This window comes from Homo sapiens, chromosome 6 (genome assembly GCF_000001405.40).
Source record: "Homo sapiens chromosome 6, GRCh38.p14 Primary Assembly".
NCBI classification, from domain to species: Eukaryota; Metazoa; Chordata; class Mammalia; order Primates; family Hominidae; genus Homo; species Homo sapiens.
Genome location: NC_000006.12, coordinates 101,427,822 through 101,452,732, shown reverse-complemented (window position 1 = coordinate 101,452,732; position 24,911 = coordinate 101,427,822). Strand labels below are relative to the sequence as shown.

The 24,911-nt window shown below is 35.4% G+C and overlaps 1 protein-coding gene and 1 pseudogene across 7 annotated transcripts in view, besides 1 other annotated feature; one reads left to right on the top strand and one right to left on the bottom strand.

Annotated features, from left to right (window-relative positions):
* GRIK2 (glutamate ionotropic receptor kainate type subunit 2) overlaps positions 1-24,911 on the bottom strand; it is a 676,376-nt gene that overhangs the window by 617,351 nt on the left and 34,114 nt on the right. The window lies entirely within an intron of this gene.
* On the top strand, positions 21,414-22,322 carry ACTG1P18 (actin gamma 1 pseudogene 18; annotated as a pseudogene).
* Positions 21,997-22,498: an enhancer, noted in NCBI's record as "H3K27ac hESC enhancer chr6:101878111-101878612 (GRCh37/hg19 assembly coordinates)". NCBI's record gives its function as "activates a minimal SCP1, AML or CMV promoter by ChIP-STARR-seq in naive H9 embryonic stem cells {active_cell/tissue: H9 hESC(naive)}" and the evidence as "EXISTENCE:reporter gene assay evidence [ECO:0000049][PMID:30033119]".

Genomic DNA, 24,911 nt, shown 5'->3' with positions numbered 1-24,911 from the left:
CATTGAGATAGAATCCCCCTAACTTGCTCTCCAATAAAAACAGACTTTGCATTATTTAGTTTTTGCTTGAAGGCACTTCAATTTTTGATGCCTAAGACTGACTTAAGCATTGAGCAAACATATCTTTGTATGTATCATTGCCACCTTTTTAGGAAAATAAAATGTCATAGTGTCAAGCAGTTCTGGAGGAACTTGAAAGCAGTGCCTTATTTGGTATTTTGAGAGCAATATTTCTCAAGCCTGGCTACATGCTGGAGAACTTTTTAAAAAATGAAAAAAAAAACACAAAAATTTCATACACTGCAAGCACAGAGCAATTAAACAGCGATGTATTTGGGTGAAACCTCAGGCATTATTATCTTTTAAAGTTCCCCCATGATTTTCATATGCAGCCAAGCTTGAGAACCACTGGGTAAGTTATTCTTAAAGTGTTATTAGGGTTTTTACTATTGCTACATAAAGGACTCTAATCTTTAATTAAATCAAGGAACCATACTATGCTGATTATCAATACTATAGCCATGTTTCTTGAAGAAAGTGTTTAACATATGGAGATCCGTATGCTTCTCTTAGATACCCATATGCTCTGCTTCTATGTATGTTATTGAAAATACTATTTTAGCCTTTGTGTCACTTTCATAAGAAACATGTCCTCCATGTTTTGTGAATTGATTAATAGAAAGGTATTAAATATATACATAGCATGATTTTAAGTTAATACAAATATTTAAAGCCATAATGAAAAGAAAGCCATTTATTGGGAGAAAGTATTGGCTATTAGTTTTAGTACTAGTGAATACTGTTTTACCCTCGAATAGGTGTGAATATACCTTAACGTTGGATATCCAAAGTGTCTCCATAGGAAAGTGAAATAATATAAAATAAGTAGCACAAAATAAAGTCTCTAACTTTCACTAAAAGAGTGATGAAAAGGAAACTGACTTTGGCAGGCACATCTTCTGGCCAGTCACATTAAATATATTATTTCACCTTTCTTAAAAAACAAAAGTGGGAGGTATTTGGCACCCCCCCCCCCCTCAGAGATAAATAATGGGCTCTCAGAAAAGTTAGTAATTTGTTCAGGTTCACAAAATAATTAAATTTAAAAATGGGGTGCAAATCCAGATTTTACCTTTTACTTTTTTTCTACCATTCCATGCTGTCTTCATGAATGGTGGCTTTTGTATGGTTAATTTTCCATAAGACAACAGAAACAAATATCTCAAAATAAATTCCACATAATTAGTCTAGTTTTATTCAACCAATTTATTGACTGCCTAATATAATAAATGACTGCTAGTAGCTATGAAAGGCATAAGAATGATAACCATACGGCCCCTGTCTTCAAAGATATTAAATACAAATAATAATTGATAATAGAATGTTAAGAGCTATAAGAGAGATATAAAGCAAGGAGTACTATATAGCATCTCATAGGGAAGAGAAACTAATTTCCACATCAGAAATCAAGGAGGCTACGGAATGACAATTGAGCTCAAACATAAAGATTAAGTCCACATCAGAAATCAAGGAGGCTATGGAATGACGACTGAGCTCAAACATAAAGATTAAGTAGAATTTCCGCAGGATAAGGAGTTTGAGAAGACTGTGCAACGATTAATCTAAACAGGATGAAGAATGATTTAGAGACTGTTAAGTAAAGGGATCTGGCTGAAGTATAGAACACATGAAAAAATAGAGCGGGAAAGGAGATTCAAACATTGTCATGGGATCAAAATCAAAAGACCTGAAAGCTATGTTAAAGTTTATCAAATAGAATCCTCCAGTTTTACTCTGAGGAAACTGAAGCCCAGGGATATTTAATGTTTCACCAAATATCACACCAGTAATAACTGCCAGAGCTAAACACACACAAAAAATAAATCTCTTACTCTACTCCCTCAGTTTCTTCCCCTACCATTTCTTCCTCTCTCCTACCTTTTTCCTTCTTTTCTTTACTTCTCTATTTTATTCCTTTTTTCTTTTTCCTTCATGTCATTTTCTTTCTTTGGGGGATTGGAAGGGTATTTTTGTTACACCATATCAAAGTACATTAAATAGCAGGATAAAAAGGATGAACTCTATTATGTAGGCAACAGGAAACACCGAGTAGTTACTGCCACACTCAAGGGAACCAGTTACTTGCAAAATACATGTTCTCTGGTGTACATCAGCTATTAAGCCAGCTGGGGTCTGGACCAGAAGTTCTAAAGCTGATATTAAAATTGTCCCTGGTACAGAATCACATCCTTGAGGAGGTCTTGAGACTTCCAAATTTCTGGAATGTTCAGTGACTTTCAATCTGCCATATTTCTTAAACTCCAAAGATTCAATAACTTAGTAACAAAGAGATCAATGCTACAATAACATAGTACAATATTGTAATAAGGTTCACTCCTCAACTTACTGTGGATTCATTTAAAAAAACCTATGATGGCTCTTGTCTTGTTTATAGTCACTGTCTATTATTAAATCTATTATTACTAATTAAATCTATTATTACTAGAGCTACAAAATTTCAAGCCATCTGGATGTGATATGTGATTTGTGAATGATTTCCTAGATTTCTCTTGCTATCTATGATAGAAGTCTAAGAACTAGTAACCTTGAGGGCAGTTACATAATTTCCCTGAGTTGCAGAATGACTTTCAACAGACTCCGTAATATTTTGGAGTCAAGTAGTCAATGTATTGATTAATAAACTTACTAGAATAATTTATAAAGAACAAAAAATGAACAAAGAGTGAACAAGTCATGATGTTCTCTAATTTTCTTTAGCTTTTTCCAAATCGGAGAATTTTCCCATTTTCCAGCTTTTTCCCAATGCTTTATCTTTGAATTAATCGTCTCTACACTCCAAGAAAATCACGTACAAAGTCCCCCATCAGACATTTCTCCCTTTGTGTGTCAAAATATTAAAGGCATCTGAAATATCTGGAAAGTATTATTTGATTAACAAACAAATTGAAAGTATTCTACCATCAACACCAAGCTATATAGATTTTTAAATACAGTGTCAAAGAATACTATGCAGAATACTCTGGAGACACAGAGACACAAAGGAGAATCTGAATCAACAGAATTTGCTAAATTCCACCAGTTTATTATCATTAGATCATACTCTCTTTGTCCAATCATAATTCACAACTATCCACTTCTTCATCAAACCTAAGCATGAAAGTACACAAGTTTACTTGTTTCCTTGTGTTTTCATTTCCAAAGCCTCCCTTGTTGTGTAAAATTTATATTAAATAAATTAGCATGTTTTTCCCTTCTTAATCTGTCTTTTGTTACAGGTGCCTCAGCCTACATTATACATACTGCTGAGTGCTTCACATTGGCCTGGCTTTCAGGAAGCCTGGAGCTAAATTATGTTTGGTGTCGATTTCAGCTATAAAGTAATGCAGTTGTTTTTAAAAATTAAAAATTCAGAATAATATGAAATAAGAGATAAAAATCACTTTATATTCTTACAAATGAGAGAGATACTTGTTAATATTTTGGCAGTTAAATATTTTACTTTTGTTATTGACATTTATTTGATTACAAATGAGGTTAAAATTTTGGTAAATCAATACCATTTTTATTCCTTAAGAGAATTTGTATTTCTTGATATGTGAATTATTTCTCTTCATGTCTTTTGTCAATTTTCTTTACTAATATTTAAAGATTTTCCTCATAAACTCATAAGAAAACTAAACATAATGGTAATGGATGTATTTCTTTCCAGTATATTCTCTGCTTTCTTTTTATCTTTTAATAGTGTTCAAATATCCCATGAACAATAATGTAATGAACTAGTCTTCTTTTCATTACTAAATGGATGATGTAATCTTTCTTGTATGATAATTGTTTTTCTAAAACTTAGAGCTCCTTGAGATTATAAAGGACTTTCTAGCCATATGCTTCTACCCAAAGTCCAAGCTATGGACTTTAGTTCTAATGCTTGTATTTTAAATTGATGTGTGTTTCTGTGTTTGGAAGAAACACAGTGTGTCTGTTCCTTTCTCTCAGGCTATATCTGTGACTTCTTGCCAATCTTTTTGTTGCTGTCAATAAAACCCACTTCTTTCCTTTCATTCTCATGCTTCAAAATGGCTCATCAACCAGAAACATCATTTTTGTTAGAATTCCATATATATGACTAAATATATGTTGCAAGTATTTCATTAATATATAAATTTTGTGTCCAATCATATGATTATATAAATAAAGAAACTGAGGCCCAGAGAAATGAACTGATTTCCCTATAATCGCTTTACTGCCCACTAACTTATGGTTAGTTCAAATTTGGGAAAATAATTTGCACAATTTGATTGACTAAATATGTGTGATATTTAGATTTTTCCCCCATAAATAACTTCTTACACTTTGTTTCAGATCTCAGACTTAAATGTACTTGCAAAATATATTTATCAACTTATTTTGGTGCTCAGATATATGGACAGTTTAATGTTTGAAATCAAAAGTATATTTGACAAATATCCTAACATATGTATAATACATGGATTTTGGAAATAAAGATATCACTGTCCAAACTCTTGTTAAGAAATTTGAGGAAAACCTATGTAAAACATAAAAACAACAAAATATCCTGTGTTAGGTAGACTAACTCTAAAACAGTACATATTATGAAAGATTGATGCCTCTAATTAATCAAAAATTCAACAAGCCAATGCTTGATCTGGCTGCCTACATGTTAATTCAAGCCTGAATTATAGCATATAAAGTAATGCTCACATTATGGTCATGCTCATACTCTGTGCTACATGATTGAGTTCACTTCTAAGAAGTACATTTGTAATTGGGACAATGACAAGAGAATCAGGGAAGGAGACGGGATGACAAAAGGTCTGGTAACTACACTATAGAATGGCTTAAGTTACAAATCTTAAGTACAGCTATTCACATGAAATTGACATTAGTTCTATTTGGCCAAATGTCAATTTACGGATTTAGGGAAGGATTTTCTAACAATATGAATTGCCCCAAAAAATAATGGACTTTGAAGTACATAATGTCTCATCAATAGTTCAAGATGGTCATAAATAAAAATCAATCTGTGAGAGATATTGTAAAGATGTCAGAACTGAACTACATGGGAGCTACACTCCTTCTAATGTTCCCTGACATACATAGAAATCTATATATTTCCAGAAATCAGTAAAACTTACATTTCTACATATGTCATAAATATCCTAATATGTTAGGTAACCAATAACTGGCTGATTACAGCTTCCCATTTATCTATTTATACTATTTATAATCAAAATTCCTGAGAGAACTGTTGTTCTAAATATATGAAGAAAGCAAATATAGAGCTCTCTATTTTTGAAACCGATGTTATCCAAAGGGCAAATATGTAGACTTAGAATTACTGGGTCAGATTCTATCAAATGCCTGAGAAGAAATCAAATTTATAACTTAAGGTTCCCCATGGAAATTTGTGGAAAGAGGCAAAACTTCCTAGGAGGACATATTTATAAACCTTAGGTACCTTTTTCCAACAATTCCCCTCCAAGTCTCTAAGATTCTGCTTCTAAGATTCTTGGCCTTTTCCCACTGCAATGAGATATTAATGCTTTAGAAAGCTATTATTATTAAAGTAAATGTTTATATCCTTCAGCTGTGTTGAGAAAAGAAAAAAAGTAAAGGGCTACTGTAATATATATATACACAAACATAATATATACACACATATAAAATATATATAATATATAAATATGTAAAAATGTATACATATATATAAACATATAATATATAAATATATAAGCATATATACACACATAAAATATATATTATATATACACGTACAAAGTATTTTCCACACTCAATATGTCATAGTCAAAGCAAAAAGAAACGGTGATTGAGGTGGCTCTAGTAAGCCATGGGTAGTATTTCCATAAATTCTCTCACAAAAAAAAATACGACAAAGCCATGTGTATAGAGTGTTTTGAAAATTGTTTTGGCATTTAATCCAGTTATCCTTCAAAGTACAGGATTTTTAAAGGCAATATTGAAAATATATTTTTCAATATTCAAGAATAGTTTGAAGTTATTCTTTCAAACAGGTGATGGTAAAGTGATCTATCAATATATTTTCCTTTCTGAGGGCTTGTTCAGAAACATGTCTTACTAGCAAGAGCTTGACTATCTGATGTAATCAAGCTCTTTTACAAGATGACAATTTTATGCTACTAAAACCATAAGGTTCTTAGTGTATAAAACTTAGTGTATAAAAAAACTATCACTGAAGAGGAGAGGAATCAATGACACTTTAAATCTATTCATTGTAACAAAAAAAATCATTTTATTATCGTCGTAATAAGGAGTGTATTCTTTATAATGAAGTGTAATAATGAACTGATGAGCTGCATAGATAAAAAGGATGAAAAATTCATAAAAGTCCTGTGAATAACCCATAAACTCACTCAAACCTTTGCTATCAGGAGTATACTTCTAAATTTGCAAAATTTATCATTCAATTTAATTTGGTGCCTCATAAATTTATTCTGCCTAACTAGATACAGAGCAGTGGACTAAGTACTACCTGGGATACCAGGATCATAGAATCTTATATAGTCAGGATTATTAAAAATAAAGATTTCTGGTTACCAAGGCCAACAGGAACAGGCCAGGTGCTGAGTGGATAGAGGTAACACAGAAGAAAGTAGTATTTAAGCTAAGTCTTAAAAGTTGAGGAGGGATATCACAGGCAGAGATCAGAATGAATAAGACACAGAGGTGGTAAAGCATGAGATGTGCCTATGGAATGATTATAATATTAGGGCCTTATAGATGTAAAACTGTATTTTAACACACATTATCTCACTAAGTATTTGCAATGTCCATTAGTGTAAACAAGGCAAGTATTTTGGCCTCATTCATAGGTAAAAAGTCGCATAAAAATAGTTTCTATGTGTGCCATGAAAGGAAAAATCCTGGACCACATTAGTGAATGAGTCAACTACAGATGGGAAAAGTGGCTAGATCCCAAGTGCTGTAAAACTGCAAGAATTTGCTATAGAGTTAGTCAGGCAGCACTCATTTGGGTCCATAGCCCACGTTAACAGAATTTGTTTGCCCATTACAAAAGACACAGGAGAATAACTAGGGCAATGGAAAGATGAAAGAAAATTGGTAGAAGATCAAAGGGACAATAGATTCTAAAGTGGTTACAAATGTACTTTTGAAATGGCTGTCCCTGGAGTACAAGCTGAACATTTAAGCAGGCAAACCAGAATGAATAAGATGTAAGAGGGCATATGAGAAGGACAGAAGGACTCGGGGGAGGAGATAAATGAGAAGTTCATTATGGAAGTTGGAGTAAGATGTTGTGGTTCACAGAAAGTATGCTGAGTTATAGTTCTCGGATATGGAATATGTTCAAGTAATGAGAGTGTAATCACAATGATAGGAAGCTCAGATTGGCTGAAGCTTAATAGAGACAACCACCATCAGCTTTTAGGAGGTGGAAACCATGAGAGAGCAGGGTCATCAATGGTCATCAATATGAGTACTAAGTCTCTAAATACAATGGCAAGAGAAAGCCATTGAGGAAGACTAAACCAAGTCCTTAAGTTATTGAGGAAAAGGAGAGTAGGATAGTGCAGATCAAGGAGTATTCTGAGCCTGCCTCTCAGTTCCAAGATTCTCAGGGAATTGATAGAGAAGCAGCCTGAACAGGAAAGGAATGCCAAGGATGCTGTTACATACTGGGTATATAAGAAGGAAGAAGAAATGTCTGAGAAAAAAATTAAATCTAAGATTAGATTGGTCCCAATAGAATGAGACATGCAGCAGCAAATTAGGGGAAATTAATATATAGCAGATGCGGTGGACTGGCCCCAGGGGCCTGTAGAAAAGAACTGGCAAAGATAAGAAAACAGAGGTATATGCTGATAAAACAGAGAAGCTTTTATCTAAGGGGGAGAAATGATCATGATTCAGTAATGAGGCAAGGAGTAGTGAGCAGACAGAGAGTAGTTAATGAAGAAGCATTTAGTACCATCAACCATGTGAGTCTTTTTTCTTAATCTGAAAAAGTACAGATTTTCAATAAGAAAGGATTGCAATTCCTGAATTGAAAATTTTTACTTAATAAACAAATAGTATACTCCTATAAGAAAATGCAATTAAGGAGAACTTTGCATATAAATTGAAGGAATTCTATGAACTTGAATCATTATACCTTTAAAAGAAAACTAGAAGCCAACAGCCACCAAAGGCTATTATAAAACCATGTTTTCATTCTTAATTTGGAAACTTTAATACATTTTACAAATAGTATTTTTAAAAACATATTGCTACATTGCCAAGGCTTAGAGATAAAACATGTTGACCAAATTGAATATATTACTTAATATAAATCTAAAATATTTTTAAAGTATTAAAGTAATAGCTATATGAATAAATACAAGAGCAACTTCCACTCAGACTTTATCTCAGCATATAGGAAAAATTCTACCTTGAGAAAAAAAGAAAATAATTTAAGAATAAATACAATTTAAGATGAGTCGGATGTGGTGGCACATGCCTGTAATCTCAGCACTTTGGGAGGCTGAGGTAGGAGGATCAGTTGAGTGCAGGAGTTCAAGACCAACCTAGGCAACAGAGCAAGACCCCGTCTCAAAAACAAACAAACAAACAAACAAACAAACAAAAAAACCCGGAAAATCAGCTGGGCTGGGCACGGTAGTGCATACCTGTAGTCTGAGCCAATTGGGAGGCTGAGATGGTAACACCCCTTGAGCCCAGGAGGTAGAGGCTACAGTGAGTCATAATTGGGCCATTACACTCCAGCCGAGAAGACAGAGTGAGAGCCCATCTTGAAAAAAATAAAAAATAAAATAAAATAAATTTTAAAATAAGAATAAAGTAAAAATTTTAAAAGAATAAATACAATCTAAAATTGAGGTATGGCAAATTACATTAGATATAGGGCAAATGTTTTCCGGTAGTATTCTTATTTCTAGAGTAAGTAATCAAGGAAAAGGGAAAACTATTACCTTGATTCAGTTCAGAATCTCCCAAATATATGCACATATTCAAAAGATGTATCCTACTAAAAGTTTCAGAAATAATTTTCACTGATATATAATAATATTAATCATTTCTTAAATGATTCATTTAAATATTTTCTCATCTGAAATGAACCTGCCCCACTTTAGCTTTATTGTTGTCTCAAAAGATATGGTTGAACAAAATTGAATTCCTTGATTAAAACTCAGAAACCTGTATCCACTTGTTTGCCCTGATGAATCATCACAATACTGCCACATAATTTATTTTGATGTTTAATGTATTCTGCTTTTTCTATCAATCACTAGGTATTTTTAGTGCTTTTCTGTATCACAGTATTTCTTTTTGTAAATTAGAATTAAATTATTTAGTTTCCAGATACTTATTTTCCACATTTAGAGACATTTTGCCCTTTATTTTATTTCAAGTAAGCTGTTTGATTCTTGAAAAGTAAAAGTAATATTGTACTTTACTCACTTTATTTACCTATACATAGGATGTTTATTAGCTCCCCTTGTTCCTTAAGTAACTATGTGCCTCTTATCCCAGGTGCCTTTCCTTAAAGACCCCTTTCGTACTTTGAATTTTTAGAAATAGTGACACCTTGACAATCTCAAGGTGATCATTCTGTGATGCATTCTATTACACTGAGAATAATAAGAAAAATGAAATAGTGTGATGCAAATGGAGGTAGTGGTGGAATCAAAATTATTCATGCACTATTCTATTGTAAACATTATAGGAAAAGAAAGAGTAAAACTGGAAAAGAATCTTATGTTATTTATTTGCGGATTCAGTCAAGACTTGCTAACAGGAGAAGTAGTAAATACGCTAATGCAAAGAAATCTGGGAAAACAGTCCAGACGGAGCAAAAACCGCCACCCTCAGAACAAATCTGCCTACTCCCTACTTTTGTGAATAGTTACATTGAATCCCAGCAGGGACCAATCATTTATGTATTGGCTACGGCTACTTTCATGCTATAAAGGTAGGGTTGAGTAGTTGCTACAGAAATCATGTAAATATTTACTAGCTGGTCCTTCACAGAAAAAGTTTGCCAACTCCATGTCTAGGTTCAAAGTGGTTCTCCATTGTTCTGTCCCCTCCATCACTCTTTGTGTTTTATACTTCCTTCTAAACCCTATGTCAACAAATAAAAAACTTAAGTTTGCAGCGTGTCTTTCAAGAAATCTGGCAGCATGTCAGGCAAGTATTAAGGTTCGGAGACAGCCAAGTAAAAAAGGGCTCCCCAGAGAATCTCCAACCAGCCGGCGCACTGACTGGCAGGATGGGGTGAAACCTTGGGAAGTTCCTGCTGTTTGCAGGGGGAAAGGAGCCTGGCCTCTCCTGTTCCTGGGTGGTAACCTGGGATTCAACAGGTGAGGTGAAGAGCCTGTTAGCAGGACCCCATCTCACTTTGCTGTGTTATTTTTCCTTTTTCCTTTTCTCCCAACAAACTCCATCCTCCCCACCCTTCAAAGTGTCTGTGAGCCTAATCTTTTCCTGGTCCTGTGACAAGAACCTGGTTTTTGGCTGAACTAAGGAGACAGTCCTACAACATTTTCAGACACATCTGTGGCCAAAGCCGGGGTTTCATGCTATCCTTTTCTGCCATCCAGCAAACCTTCAAATCTCAATCAACGTTTCTTCTCTTTTTAAAATTACCTCCACCCACTCTTATCTCTTGGAGTTTTCCCTCTCCCAAGAATTGGAAAAATTCTGCCCTGTTCACCCCTTTTTTTTTTTTTGTATCTCCCAAAAGACAAGTATACATATCCTTTCACTATAAGAAGTTTCCCAGACTACTTTCTTATGTTCTGTAGCTTTGGCAAAGTAAAATAAAATAAAGTGGAAGCTAAACATTGAGCACACATGGACACAAAGAAGGGAACAACAGACATTAGGGCCTATTTGAGGGTAAAAGTTTGAAGGAAGGGGAGAACTGAAAAACTACCTATCGGGTGTTATGCTGATTCCTGGATGACAAAATTATCTGTACACCAAACCCCATACATGTTTACTCATGTAACAAACCCTGCACACATACCCCTGGAACCTAAACTAACAGTTGAAAAGAAAAAAATGAGGCCATAAAGACTCCTAACTTCATTAAGCTTTTTCCAGACTTGAAAGTCTATCAAGGTGGAACTATTGATGTTTGACCGCGCCAAGCATGTAAAGAATCTCTTAAACTGCATAATACCGTGTTCTGGGTAGCACAAGCATATACAGTTTTAAGATAAAAGAAAAACAAAAAACTTGTTCTCTCACCATATGCATGAAAAACAACTTGAGATCTTCTAGAAAAATTGGAAATGATGACTGCTTTTTGTTTGTTTGTTTGTTTACTTACACTGTGGTATCAGAACAAAATTTTATTCACCAACATTTCAGGAGATTCAGACTGGTCTGGTAGGGCCTATTCCCTCAAAAGCAAGAATACTGTGATGACAAGGGACAGAGAGTAGACTACTCAGAAAGAATCTCACAGCGAGGACCAACCTGCATGGGGTTACTGGCTTTTGGAAAGAGCTGAGCTGGAAGAGAACACAAAAGTCTGAAGGCCTGGGCTGGGTGTAGTGGCTCACGCCTGTAATCCCAGTGCTCTAGGAAGCTTGAGGCAGGAAGATCACTTGAGCCCAGAAGACCAAGGCTGCAGTGAGCTATGATTGCAACACTGCAATCTGTCCTGAGCAGCAAGACAGAATAAGATCCTGTCTTAAAAAAAAAAAAAAAAAATTCAGGCCTGCAAGGTAGAAGATAGACCATCTAACACTCTCCTTTCTGTAATCTTCAGTAAACAAAAAACAAAAAAAAAAAACAAAAAAGCATTTCTTTCTCGTAGAATCTGACAAGGAGGCTGAGGAGTTTTTGGTCCTAAAGGCCCTTGCGTATTTAGGAGGAAGGGCGCAGACAAACACAGGAAGTTACAAACTTTGAGCTGCTTTAAACCCTCAAACAGAAATATGAGTAAATGTGTCAATATGTTTTAGGGCAGAGAAGGGCCCTCTGTTGGAATCCATTCATCAATTTTATTATTATTTTTTAACTGAAAAGAACTAGAAAGTATAGTTTTTGGACAACTGCATGGGTGCAGGTTCTATCACACAGACAGAAAGATGTACAGCTTTCAGTTCCTTAGTCCAGTTACTTCCAACTGGGCATAATAATCTTCCTCAAATGATTTTCCTTCAAAGTTGATCAGTCTTAGAATTAGTTGATTAACCAGATCAACTGCACAAGCATTTGAACTAGGGTTCTTGTGGCTCTGAACCATTGGGTAAGGAAATAAAGATTCAAGTGCCTCAGCAGGATTATCTTAATAACTGATTAACTTAATGCACTGAGCTAAATTATGACTTTGTTCATTTCTTCATAAAATCTGTTTTTTCTGTCCAGTTTTTGTTAATGTCAATTGAACCTTGTCAAATAAGATTGGCCCATGCTGTGTCTTATACCTAATTCTGTTGAATTTTTTCTCCGTCCAATTTCACCTTATTTCCTGTTGTTTTATTGTTTTAGTAGATTCTTTTTCAAGCACTTTTCCAGGGAAATATTTTTCTTTGATACCCCATCATTTTTTCTACAACTGCATATTATGATCTTACATATATTTCTTGGAAATTGTGTTATGTCTTCCATTGGCACTTACTAACTTTTTTAAAAAATTCCATAACAATTTGGTCATAACCTCACCGAAGTGGTCATCTTCCAATGAGAACATTATTGCCATAGTTGCAGTTTTTAAACCCAGATTCTCACTAACAATAACAAATGAATATTTTCTCAGGAATCTTTTCAGGAGTCTTCTTTTCACAAGACTCTCTCAAAGATAAAAATTATTTATTTTTCATAAATTGCATTTAAGTTCAAGATAACTAGGTATGCCTATATAGCCCAAAATTCTAAACCAGAAGTCCATTTAAAAATAATTACATCATAGGTAAGATAGCTACTTATAATACCTATATCTTATATAGATATTTTCTTGTTTTTGTTATTTCAACTACAATGCATTTCCATTTTTGAAGTAATTATCAATATACATATTTACATGTATAATGATGGCTTTCATTAAGGAAATTGAAAAGGAGAGGGATATTTATTGAAGTCAATATTGCATAATGGAAAAGTCCCATGTCTTTAGAATCAGAAAATCATGGCTTTAAGTCCCTAATTTTGTGAATTTGGGTAACCTAGTTAGCTGTAAAATGTAGTTCATCTAAAAGATAAGACTGGGGATAGATAATTTTCTCATAGGGTTGTTGTGAGGATTGGATGAGATAATTGAGATAATACTTGTGTAATGAAGACTTTGAAGCTTCATTACACACTACATGGCTGTTGCAACTATGCCTGCTTTCTGAGGGTAAAGGCCTCAAGATGCTCTTTATGCATAAAGCTGTTACTTTGAACCATGGGCATCCAATGAAACCATCTCTGCTTCCCAGGACAAAATAAACTGGGTAAGGGATTAGTGCCCAAACTACAGTCCCATGGAACAATGAACAGTAAGAATAATCCATATGATATAAACATATATAGACCCAATGAGATACACTTTTAGGATTTAGAATACTCAGCGCACCAGACAGATGGTCACTGAGCTTCAGCTGTACATTGAAAGCAGCTGAGCAATTGTTTAAGATATCTATGTAGCCTATTTTACATCTCAGGTTTAGAAGTTCTGAGATAAAATTGGGACTGAAAGTAACGGACACCAAGTTGACCTAAAATATAACAAACCTCATTAGTTCTATACACTTATCAACAACCTCAATAACCATTGTTATTATTAGCACAAAAATCAATGCAGTTTACAAAAGTGCATGTTGCCTTATAACAAATTTGTCCTTTCTAGGCAATCTAATCTGTTCTCAGGAATTCAATTGTCATCTGTGTGGCAATGGCTCTTAAATCCCCCAGTCTGTGACTATGATTTTAAAGCACATTGTTCCTTATCAATTTAATGCGAAGAAATACTAATCATACTTGACATGTCACTTTGAAATCTTACCTTATATATATTTACTGGAAAGTAATGATTTCACGCATTTATTAATCACAAATATGGACTCATTAAAAGAGTGTGCCAGAACGATGTTGAGCACATTTCTTGATGGCAATCTCACAATGTGGCTACATTATTTTGGTCTTTCTAAAGGACTCTGTATTGGAAAGAGTTTCCAATATATATTCCATTTACGAGTTCCACACATATTGATAAGTACGATAGTGGAGCTATTTACAGGAGGCATTATCTTTTAGAATTATAAATCTCTCAAATAAAATTCATCTAAAGAATTAAAGCAATTAAGTTAATGGCCAGTGTCACTTCAGAACGTATCATTCTGGTCAATTATGTCATTCTATGAAAAATTAAAACATTTCAGTTGGCTAAGATCAAGACAAAAAAAACAACAACAAATAAATGTCTTCCCTTGAGCTAACCAAATCCTAATGAACTTCTAAAGCCCATTTCATGTCCCACTTCTTCCATATCTTCCCTAATCACTTACTTTAACCCACAAGGACTACTAACATGCTAGAATTACAATGAGACTTAATGTCTATATAACAAATGTGGCACTTAATAAATACCCCCATTAAACCTTCATTTGATGGACAATATGTAGATATAGAAAGACTTTGTGATCCAAGCAAGGTATCATAGCTGTTTGGTAGCAAAACTAGGACTACTAGAATTTAGGAGGCTTCCTGTCAAGTTTATTTCCACTAGTCTACATTCTCCGCCCACTGCTTCATCCTTTATTTCCTTTTGTATTTGTTTTTGCCTCTCACAATTAAAGCATAAGATCATCGAGGGAACAAGGGTGGAGTGAGGAGTGATCTTGGAAGGGTATATAAGGGAAGTACCAGGCACTCTATTAGAATGATTTGTGTGTCATTTATTCTACTTGTTACAATAACCCTGTATCTCTCCCTATTTTACGGGCGAGGATCTGAAGCTCAGAGGAATGATGATAGCTGACAAGCTGGCAAGCTGGACAGATGGTCACTTTGGGAAAATAAGTAGTATTATACTGTATGTACTGTAAGTGAATCAATATGCTACTATTGCCCCCACTCCCTAAGGTATTAAGAATGTATCCACATTTATTTACAACACTTTCTTATTCCTAAGAAATGTCTTGTGAAATTACAAGTTGTTAAAAGCATAATAATGAAGAAATAGAGAAGGAAATTTTAATCACAATATTTAGTCTACAGCAACAAAGAATATTAAAAGGATCTTTGAAGTAAATGGAAATAGACCAATCCTTTTTGTCCTAATTCACACCGTTGTTGGCAGTTGTGAGGTACATTAGATGCTCCCCACATGATGTTTCTATTATGTAGCTAGACCATTATCAATAAAGGGAAAAGGAATATATTTGCTAAGATTTCCATTACCTAAATAGGTCTCATGAAGGAATGCAGCAGGACATTTTTGCTAATGCCTTTCATTCTGTTTGTGAAAATGGAAACAGAGGATTTTTCTCAGTATAGAAATAAGTCAGCCATGTGGTCTATTGTTGCTTGCTTGCATCAAGTGATAGAATATCTCTCCTCAGTCTTTAGTAAATTTAGGCATTTTCTTTGCCAACCATTGGCTGTAGTAAGGACACTGTGAGTTTTAATATTTTAATTTGTTTACAAAATAGTATAAATATATATATATATATCCATATAGGTATTGAACTCTAAAATTATTTTTAAAATTCATGCAATACATAACTGTAAACTAGATCAAGATCTCTACTTTAAATATGATGATTTGAGCCATTTTAATCTTAATTTAGACGAAATTTACAATATAATTTTAAATTATATAGGACTTTTAAGTATACATATTTAACAAACCTGCATGTTGTGCACATGTACCCTAGAACTTAAAGTATAATAATAAAAAATAATAATAATAATAAACTTTAAATCATTATTGACTTTTACCAAATCCTCCCCAAAACTCTATAAAATAAGAAAGGAAAACTAAAAGATCTTAAATCTGGTGATTTAGTTCTACAAAAGATTTATACATAAAATGAACTGAGAAGAATCTGAAAATTTGCTGAAGATACCAATTCCCCAAATTATATATTCTCTATCCAGACTAGTTCTTGCTCCCACATAAAAATCTTGCTCCAGTAAGAGTGGGGGTAACATAAATCATAGGATCTAAATATGGAAGAAACCTAATTATCTACCACACCCCCACTCTATTCAAGTTTTGCTACAGAACATTTTTCTTACAAGGCAAATGCTAAATGTCTCAGTACACAGCCTTGCAGCTAAAAAAATTTTTTTAACAATGTCACTAAGAGTTCAGTATAAAAAAAAAATCATTATCTTTTCAGTCAAGCTTTCTGTTTTGTGCACTATCCTGAATCACTCAAAAAACATATTGTAGGAATAAAATATACATGAACCTCTGAAAACAGAGTTTGAAAAAATAACTTGAACTTACTGCCTATTTATCTCATAAAAATGAATAATTAGTAAAATGTAGCTATATTAATATTTAAGTATATACACATGTACATCAACTTATTCAAATATTTTAATCCTGAAAAACTGTACTCTGAATAGATAGGAAGTTTATTAACCAAATCTTGTTTCAAATGCTATAGGCAAGATTACGCTAACAGAGAATCTTAGCTTGAATTTTGAAAAGGATAAAGAATATAACTTTTTAAAAATATATATGCGCACATTTGAATATTTCCATATGAAATAAAAGAAGGGAAGAATAAAGAAACAAATTAGGAGGCCACTGCAATTATTCATGTGTAAAAGTAATGAGTACCTGTCTATGTATGTAAAGACAAGCTAGATCCAGGAAGCTTTGATATTGAAAAGTCTCCAAGTCCTGAAAAAATGATTAAACTTGAGAAGTAAGGGAAGAAAAAAGTCAAAGACAAATCTAAGATTCTGAGTCCAAGTGTCAGATGGAGAATGTCAATGGCATTAATCAGAAGAGAAAGTGGGTTCTGAAAAGAACAAAACAATGATCTTTGGGCACATGGATCTTGAGATATCAAAGGAAATTTTAATAGCATGGAAAGAAGACACAACTAGAGATAGAGATTTAGAAATCATGTGTGCAAAGGAAATTTACTAAGCCACTGGCATGGAGATCATGGAAAAGGGAGACGCCTGGAGATGTCACCAACAAACTGGGAGAAAAACAACTTCTGGACCACAATGAAAAAACTGGAAAAGTGGCTTATTTGGAGGAGGGGATTGAGGGGAAGGGGGTTGCTATTCCCCAATTTTAAAAGTCTGTTTTCAACTTTCTTTTATTGCCAAAAAAAAAAAAAAAAATCACCGTGTGCCTTCACAATGTAGTTAATTGGGAGAATTGTCTAAATCTTGGCATGGTTTAAGCAGGACAGAGATTGAGTCCTGAAGGGAGTGATGTCAGTTCTGAATAGCAGAAAGTGCCACATCAGACAAAGGTAAGGATTATTCCATGGTTCACAATAACTTCTGGGGAATTAAGTGCAAGACATTGTCACACTGCTGAGTCACACTATATTAAAAAAAGAAGAATAGAAAAGTACACTCATTGGTTCTGGATGAAAGCACTCAAAAACTCTGCTTTAGAAACTGTTGTACAGCAAGGAAAAATGGAGTCAATGGAAAAGAAAAAAATAATAACTCTAAGAGTTGGGACTATGTGATCTATTATTTTCTTTGAAAGTGCAGGCTCAGTTTGTGCAACCTAAATCTCTCTGGATAGAATTTTCTTTTCTCCTTAGGCTCTTCCTCAGGAGCAAAAACAGATTTGCCAAGTACCCAGGGTCCTCACGGGGCAGCTGCAGAGAAATAAGCAAAACATTATTTATTTCCTTTGGTTTATGTTTCCCTTTCAGGAATTATGGTGAACAGCTGGGGAGAGAAGTGCCCCATTTACAGTGGTACCACCACTGACATGTCTCACCTCAAGAACAAAGGGCAGCCCACCATGAGGGACCGGGTGTGTGACATGTTAGATAAACACAGAAAGGCCAGGAAAATCCCCCTAATGTGTAAAAGGATTGGTCTCATTCCAGAAAGTAGTAGGAAAATAAAATATTTTAAATCTTCACATCCAGAAGGTTAATATTCAAACTGTTAAACTCGATAGAGCTATAAAATTTTACCCAAGATTCACAAACTCCTCTGATGGAAAAATGTATAAATGACATATTTTTCTTCTTCTTCTAACAAAAAAAAAAATATTCAAATTAGTGAGGAAAGTCTGCATGTCAGAAATTCTGTTCACTGAATCAGACACCTACAAAGTATGTGAAAGTTTGGACCAAGACTTTGCCATTGAAGATCCCTTCTAGCTCTGAAATTCCACTATTTCGAGTTTGCCTGAGAAGAGAGAGACTTGTATGAGAACTCATCTCTCAGGCCACGTCACTCTTTAGGGTTGATTACAGAGACTTTCCTCACAAATGGTCCTAGGATATGTATCCCATTGCATCCTCTCTTCCTCACCTCCAATTGGAGCATGGGCTGAAGGCCTCTAGAACTCTGCTGCTGTTAGTCCCAACTCACACACAGGAATAAGTAGCAAGCAGGAAGCCCACTTTTGTGTTATTTGCACGTTAGTGTCTAAAACACCCCATGGCCACATGCTTTTCTATATTTAAGGGTGACCTTTAAGTCACATCTATACCCGTGTCAGCGGGCTACAGTAAAATTTGGGGCCACCTCGTTGCAGTGACAGGTCATGCACTATTAATTCTAGCATAGTACAGGCGGACTTCAACTCTCTAGTCGCTATTTTAAGATCTATTCCTGGCCTGTACGACTCATAAAATGTTCCTTAAGCTACTCTTGAGAGTAATTTACATAAGCAACTGGTGATCATTAATTGGGTGACTGCAAATATAGGCAAACAGGGGATAAATAAATGTAGAGTTTTCTCTTTTAATCAAACCGTTCACTTCTAGATTCAGACTAAAAATGTTCTCATCTCTATGGGCCATTGCTCTGTTTTGGAATGTTAAATGCAAAGCAATATATCTTGCTCTTCAGCATAAAGAAAATACAGTTAAAACAATAAGTAAGAAAAAAAAAGAATAGTACCTGAGGTAGGAGATTTTCAATGAAGAAAAAAAATAAAGATAATTTTTAGACACATCAGATCAGACAACATAAAAGGAACAAAAACATAAGCAATAATAAATATTTATTGCACTCCTACCACTTGCAATGCACTGAGCTGAGGCCATTACATCTGTTATCTCTTTTAATACTCATAACCATCCTAAGAAGTAGTTGCTAATATTATCCTCATTTTTATAGATGAAGAAATTAAGGTTAAGCAATTTGCTGCACGTCACGCAGGTATAAAAGCAGCAAGTCAGGCCAGTCTGCATTCTGGGCTTTTCAGCCTTGAAGAAGTTAGTTGATTCAGTCCTGCCAGAAGGTAAATTGAAAAGAAATGGAGGTAACTTGCATTTCTCAAGTGTTTTCTAGATGCCGAGCACTTTATTGGATACTTTACATACTTTTTCGTGTCTATGATTCTCACAACGGCAACAAGAGTAGTTATTATTACCTTCATTTTACAGAAAAAAAATCTCTTGGGATTTTCTGGGATTTTCTCTTGGGATTTTTCAGTTCTAAAGCCTCAGGGTGAGGTGCCATGAGAGGCCAATAGATCTCAACTCAGCGTTTGTGTCTCAAACACTCGACCTCTGAGTCTCTTTTGGCCTGACCACCTTATGTCAGTTTCATTCCCTTCTCTTCCTCCTCCTCCTTGAAATTACAGAGTCTGGAAAGGGGGTAGATCTTTCTTCCTCTGTTTTATATGTATAATGTTTTAATAGTGGAGAATGTTCACTCTTCCACACTTATTTGTTCTTTGTTGGTTTGCCAAAGAAGAAGAAAAAAATATTTAGATGATCCCTTCTCAAGAAAATAGCCTAGCTTATATGGTCACTATTGTGCTCTTTAATCCTATTCTTGTGTGACAGAAACAATATTATCATTATCTTTTTCATAACAAATTCATCATACCCTCCTCTCACCCTAAGCAGATGAATGCCTAGATAGATTAAAATGAATTTTTCTTCCCAAAAAGACAAAATAGAAGTGCACATTTGTATTTAAATATCACTTTCAATATGTAGGTATCAATCTCCTCCTGTAGATTATGAGAATATGGGACAGAACCCCATTCATCTTTGTATTCCTACAACCTGTTAGGCGTTCAATAAATGTTTACTTAGTGGATTGTCATTGGGTATTATCTGGGGGGTAAATATCATTTACTCCAATGTTTGCAACTGATATTATAGTATAAATTAGTTTACCAAAATAACTTAAGAATACTCCAAAGGATTAAGACACTAGAATTCCGTAAGAGCAAAGACTCATCTTTCTAGTAAGCACATAGGACAGAGTCAGAGACAGCATAAGGTTACAGTAAATATTAGTTCAATGAATGATTCAGGAAGCAACTCTTCCTAGGGGTGGCAGAAAAATATATAAAATATAAAATATGGACGAGGGACTTGATTAAATTATAGGCAGGCAGCCCCAGGAGAAGGTCCTGGCAAGAGGGAACAAATATGAGAGCATGGGGTATCTGCAGGGAGCAGGGCAGGGTCTAATGAGAAGAGCAACAATTAAATAGCCACAGGGTTCTTAATTATGCGCAAGAGTATTAATTTCTTTAAAAATTGCTCAAAGTGTATTATTAGCTTCTTGTATGTGGACAGTAAAAAACAATACAGAGTCCGCTTTCTAATGAGGCATAATGTTTTGTTGGGAACACATCTCATGGAGTGTTAGATGATTCCCCATGCCAGCTATCCATGCCTGAAAAAAAGTGCACGTGGGTCTACACTAAATGGGTGATGTTATCATGGGCAGGAAGCTTTATGCCCCTTGAACCACTTCAGTGTTGGAAATGTCTCCCCTTTAATAATACTATTAAATCAGTAGTTATAAAGTATCCATGCAGGCCAAGTAACAAAGTGATAACCAATATTCCATTTTTCAAATGGTCAAACTGATGCTAAAAACAAGTAATATGTAATACCATAAGTTAACTTTGTTTTGGTCACACATTCTCTTCTATACATACAGAAATACACCAAACACACACACATCAGGTAACACCTTCCTTTTTTTTCACTTGCCACTGCCAACCCACTCTCCATGGATCACAGTGAAAGAAGAGCCTCACAGCACTTGTCCTTGACAATGGCGCCACATGTGCCAAGCCGGCTTTGCTGGGGATGACGCCCCCAAGCCATGTTCCCCTCCATTGTTGGGCGCCCCCAGCACCAGAATATAAACTCTGTCAGAGTAAAGACTTGTCTTTCTAGTAAGCACACAGGACAGCATCAGAGATAGCATAAGGTTCCAATAAATATTACTGGAACTGAGCCAGAAGGACTCCCACATGGGTGAAGAGGCCCAGAGCAAGCATGGCATCCTGACATTGAAGTACTCCTTCAAGCACAGCATTATTTCCAACTGGTACAACATGGAGAAGATCTGGCATCATACCCTCTGCAATGAGCTGCATGTGGTTCCTGAGGAGCACCCAGTGCTGCTGCCCGAGGCTCCTCTGAACCCCAAGGCCAACAGAGAGAAGTTGACTCAGATCATGTTTGAGACCTTGGATACCCCCTGCCATGTATGTGGCACCCAGGGCCATGCTGTCCCTGTACACCTCCGGTAGTACTACTAGTATTGTCATGGACTCTGGAGATGGGGTCACTTACACAGTGCCATCTTTGAGGGCTATGCCTTTCCCTAGGCCATCCTGCACCTGGACCTCATGAAGATCCTCACATAGTGTGGCTACAGCTTCACCACCACTGCCTAGTGGGAGATAGTGCGCGACATCAAGGAGAAGCTGTGCTATGCTGCCCTAGACTTTGAGCAGGTGATGGCCACCATGGCATCCTCTTCCTCCCTGGAAAGGAGCTAGTTGCTGATTTACGGCTAGGTCATCACCATCAGCAGTGAGAGGTTCTGGTGTCCAGAGGCGCTTTTCCTTTTTCCTGAGAATGGAATCTTGAGGCATCCTTGGGACCACCTTCAACTCTGTCATGAAGTGTGGTGTGCACATTCACAAGGACCTATATGCTGACACAGTGCTATCTGGAGGCACAATCACATACCTGGGCATCACTGACAGGATATAGAAGGAGATCACTGCCCGGACACCCAACACCACGAAGATCAAGATCATCACCCCCACTGAGCTCAAATACTCGGTGTGGATCAGAAGCTCCATGCTGGCCTCCCTTTCCACCTTCCAGCAGATGTGGATCACCCAGCAGAATAGGCTGTGAGCAGATGTGTAGCATTTGCTGCATGGGTTAATTCAGAACACTTCATGCTAGTCTCATGAAACTAGAGTAAGCCTTTGAAAAGAAATTTGTCCCAGAAGCTTGTATCTGATTACCAGCACTGGATTATAAAACTTGCTGCTGATTTTGACTTTGTATTGAACTTAACTGTTCCCTTGGTATTTGTTTAATACCCTGTATGTATCTTGGATTTAAACCCTTAGTACATGTAACTCGGTCACTCAGTGGCTGAGGTGAGAACATGATTGTGGAAGAAAAGTCCGTGGTTTGGTGAGTCTGTGTGCCCAGCAGTCTGTCGATCTGTGCAGGTATTAATGTGTCAGAGCTCAGTGTTCCAGGATTTCTCTAAAGGCTGGCAAGAGCTCCTGAACCAGTTGTTTCTGTCTTGCTGGTCTACAAAGGTTAGAGAAGTCCAAGCGTTAGGACCCAGTTTCCTTTCTTACCTGGTGTTTTCCTGCCAGAACACCGTGGGCTGTTACTTGCCAGGAGTTGAAAGTTGTCTGCATTAATACCTGTAAATTTATTCATCCTTTTAATTTATGTAAGATATTTTTGCACACTATTCTCAATTCTTTAAGAAATGACAACAAATTTTGGCTTTCTACTGTTATGTGAGAACATTAGGCCCCAGCAACACGTCATTGTGTAAGGAAAAATAAAGTGCTGCTATAATTGGAAAAAAAGAAAACAGAAAAAAAGAAAAAAACCCTCTCCATTTTTTTCAGGAAGTCTGTTACATTTTTCTTCCTTCTTATAGGCCAGAGACCTCTTTATGGCTCCTTACCAAGAACTTTTCCAGGTTGCCACTGAGAGAAAAGATGTTAATTATCTACTTAGCACTTTCTTTTTAGGCTCTTGGTACTAACTGCTCCTCATTTCTCTGCCAAGATAATTCTTGGTCTGTGATCAGAGCTCTGAAGCCCTTATGCTATCATTCTGACTCACAGCTGTGAATTACCCTGCTGAAAATATAAGGGAAGAAGGACAGTGCATATGTAGTTAGGGTGTGCACTACATCTCTCTCTAGTTAAGTGTTAATGAAACATTACGAGCAACAAGGGTATCATGTCTCCTAGTCCTATGTAAATTCTCTCATTCATCTGCAATTTGATTCCCCTCTGAACGTGCCATTTACAAAATTGAGGACCTTGTGGTTCCTGAATTAGGAATAACAAGTAAATAGCTGCTTGTAAAGTATTTTGACTGAAGATCCGGTTCAGTTCATATGTGTCATTCTCAGTAGGTATTATGGGGACACCAAGGTCACTATGACTTTGCTATTCCCAAGAGAACATATAATTAGATTGCAAAACACACAATGTTTAGTAAGTTGGACTCAGGTTGAGGTGCAAATGTCAGCATTTTAAAGTTGTAGTTAATTAAAAAGTCATTGAATTTTTCAAAGTCTTTGTCTTAGAATTCTAATGCAGCAAGTCTGATAAGAAACCTAAGAATTTGAAAGGAGAAAGAACAATGATAAAACATATTTAAAAGAATGACAGTGTGATGCAGTGGAAGAGCAGGAAGACAGGGATGTGAGCAGAAGTCTAACCCCCTGTCACCCACCTGCAGACTAACACTAATTACTTCAACACTTAACGTTCCTTAGGAGAGGAAACAAGGCTACTGAACAAAGCCTTAAGATGTCCTTTGCTTTTAAACTCTATGATTTTATAGATTCTCATTACATATTTTTAAACTAATATATGTATTTTCATTCAAACTTGGTTCTTTGTCAAAGTTAAGGATTCTATATTGTTTAATAATGTTAATAATTTCCTTACGTAACTGCAAGAACCATTTTTTATTTCAATATAGTTTTTTAAATCAACATTTCCATAGGTCTTCTAAAAATCAAATTAGAAATAATAGAATGTGATATTCTTTAATCCTACTAAGATTTTTAAAATTATATCACAAATGTTAAATGACCAAAGCCTTAGGCCTTATCTTCTGTGTTGGCAACTGACTGACAAAATCCATTCATTTTTGTTCCTCTCATTTAATTCTGTAAAAATATCTGTAACCAGTAGAAATGCATTTCCCTCACTTCAATAAGGAAGGCAGCATTTTTAAAAACTGCATGTTAACAAATCAAAGCTGTATTAAAGAATTTTCAGTGCCTAACTAGCAAACAGAGTAGACAACAAGGTAATTGTCAAGCTCAAGGGAACTCCAGATTTTTGTTTTATTTTTAACGTGTTTCATATTCAGAAATAATTACTGTGTGTTGGTCTGGTTCACATGAAACAAAATCGCTGACATTTTTGTTCATAGGTGATAAAATGTGGATTTGTAATTCAAACACAGATATTAATTCCTAATGAGCTAATTAAAGAAAATCTAATAGCAGGATGTGTTAAGCAAAAGATGACTCCAGAACTACTTTCCGAGTACATACATCTGAAGGTTAGAAATTAGCAAAGCATTTAACATTCTCAAAAATATTACCCATTGCCTCTGTGATCCATCGAAGCATCCCAGAAATTTTACATCACAGAGACCACCAACATCTTTTAGCTGTGAATTGCTAGCATTTATTCAGTGAATGAATAAATG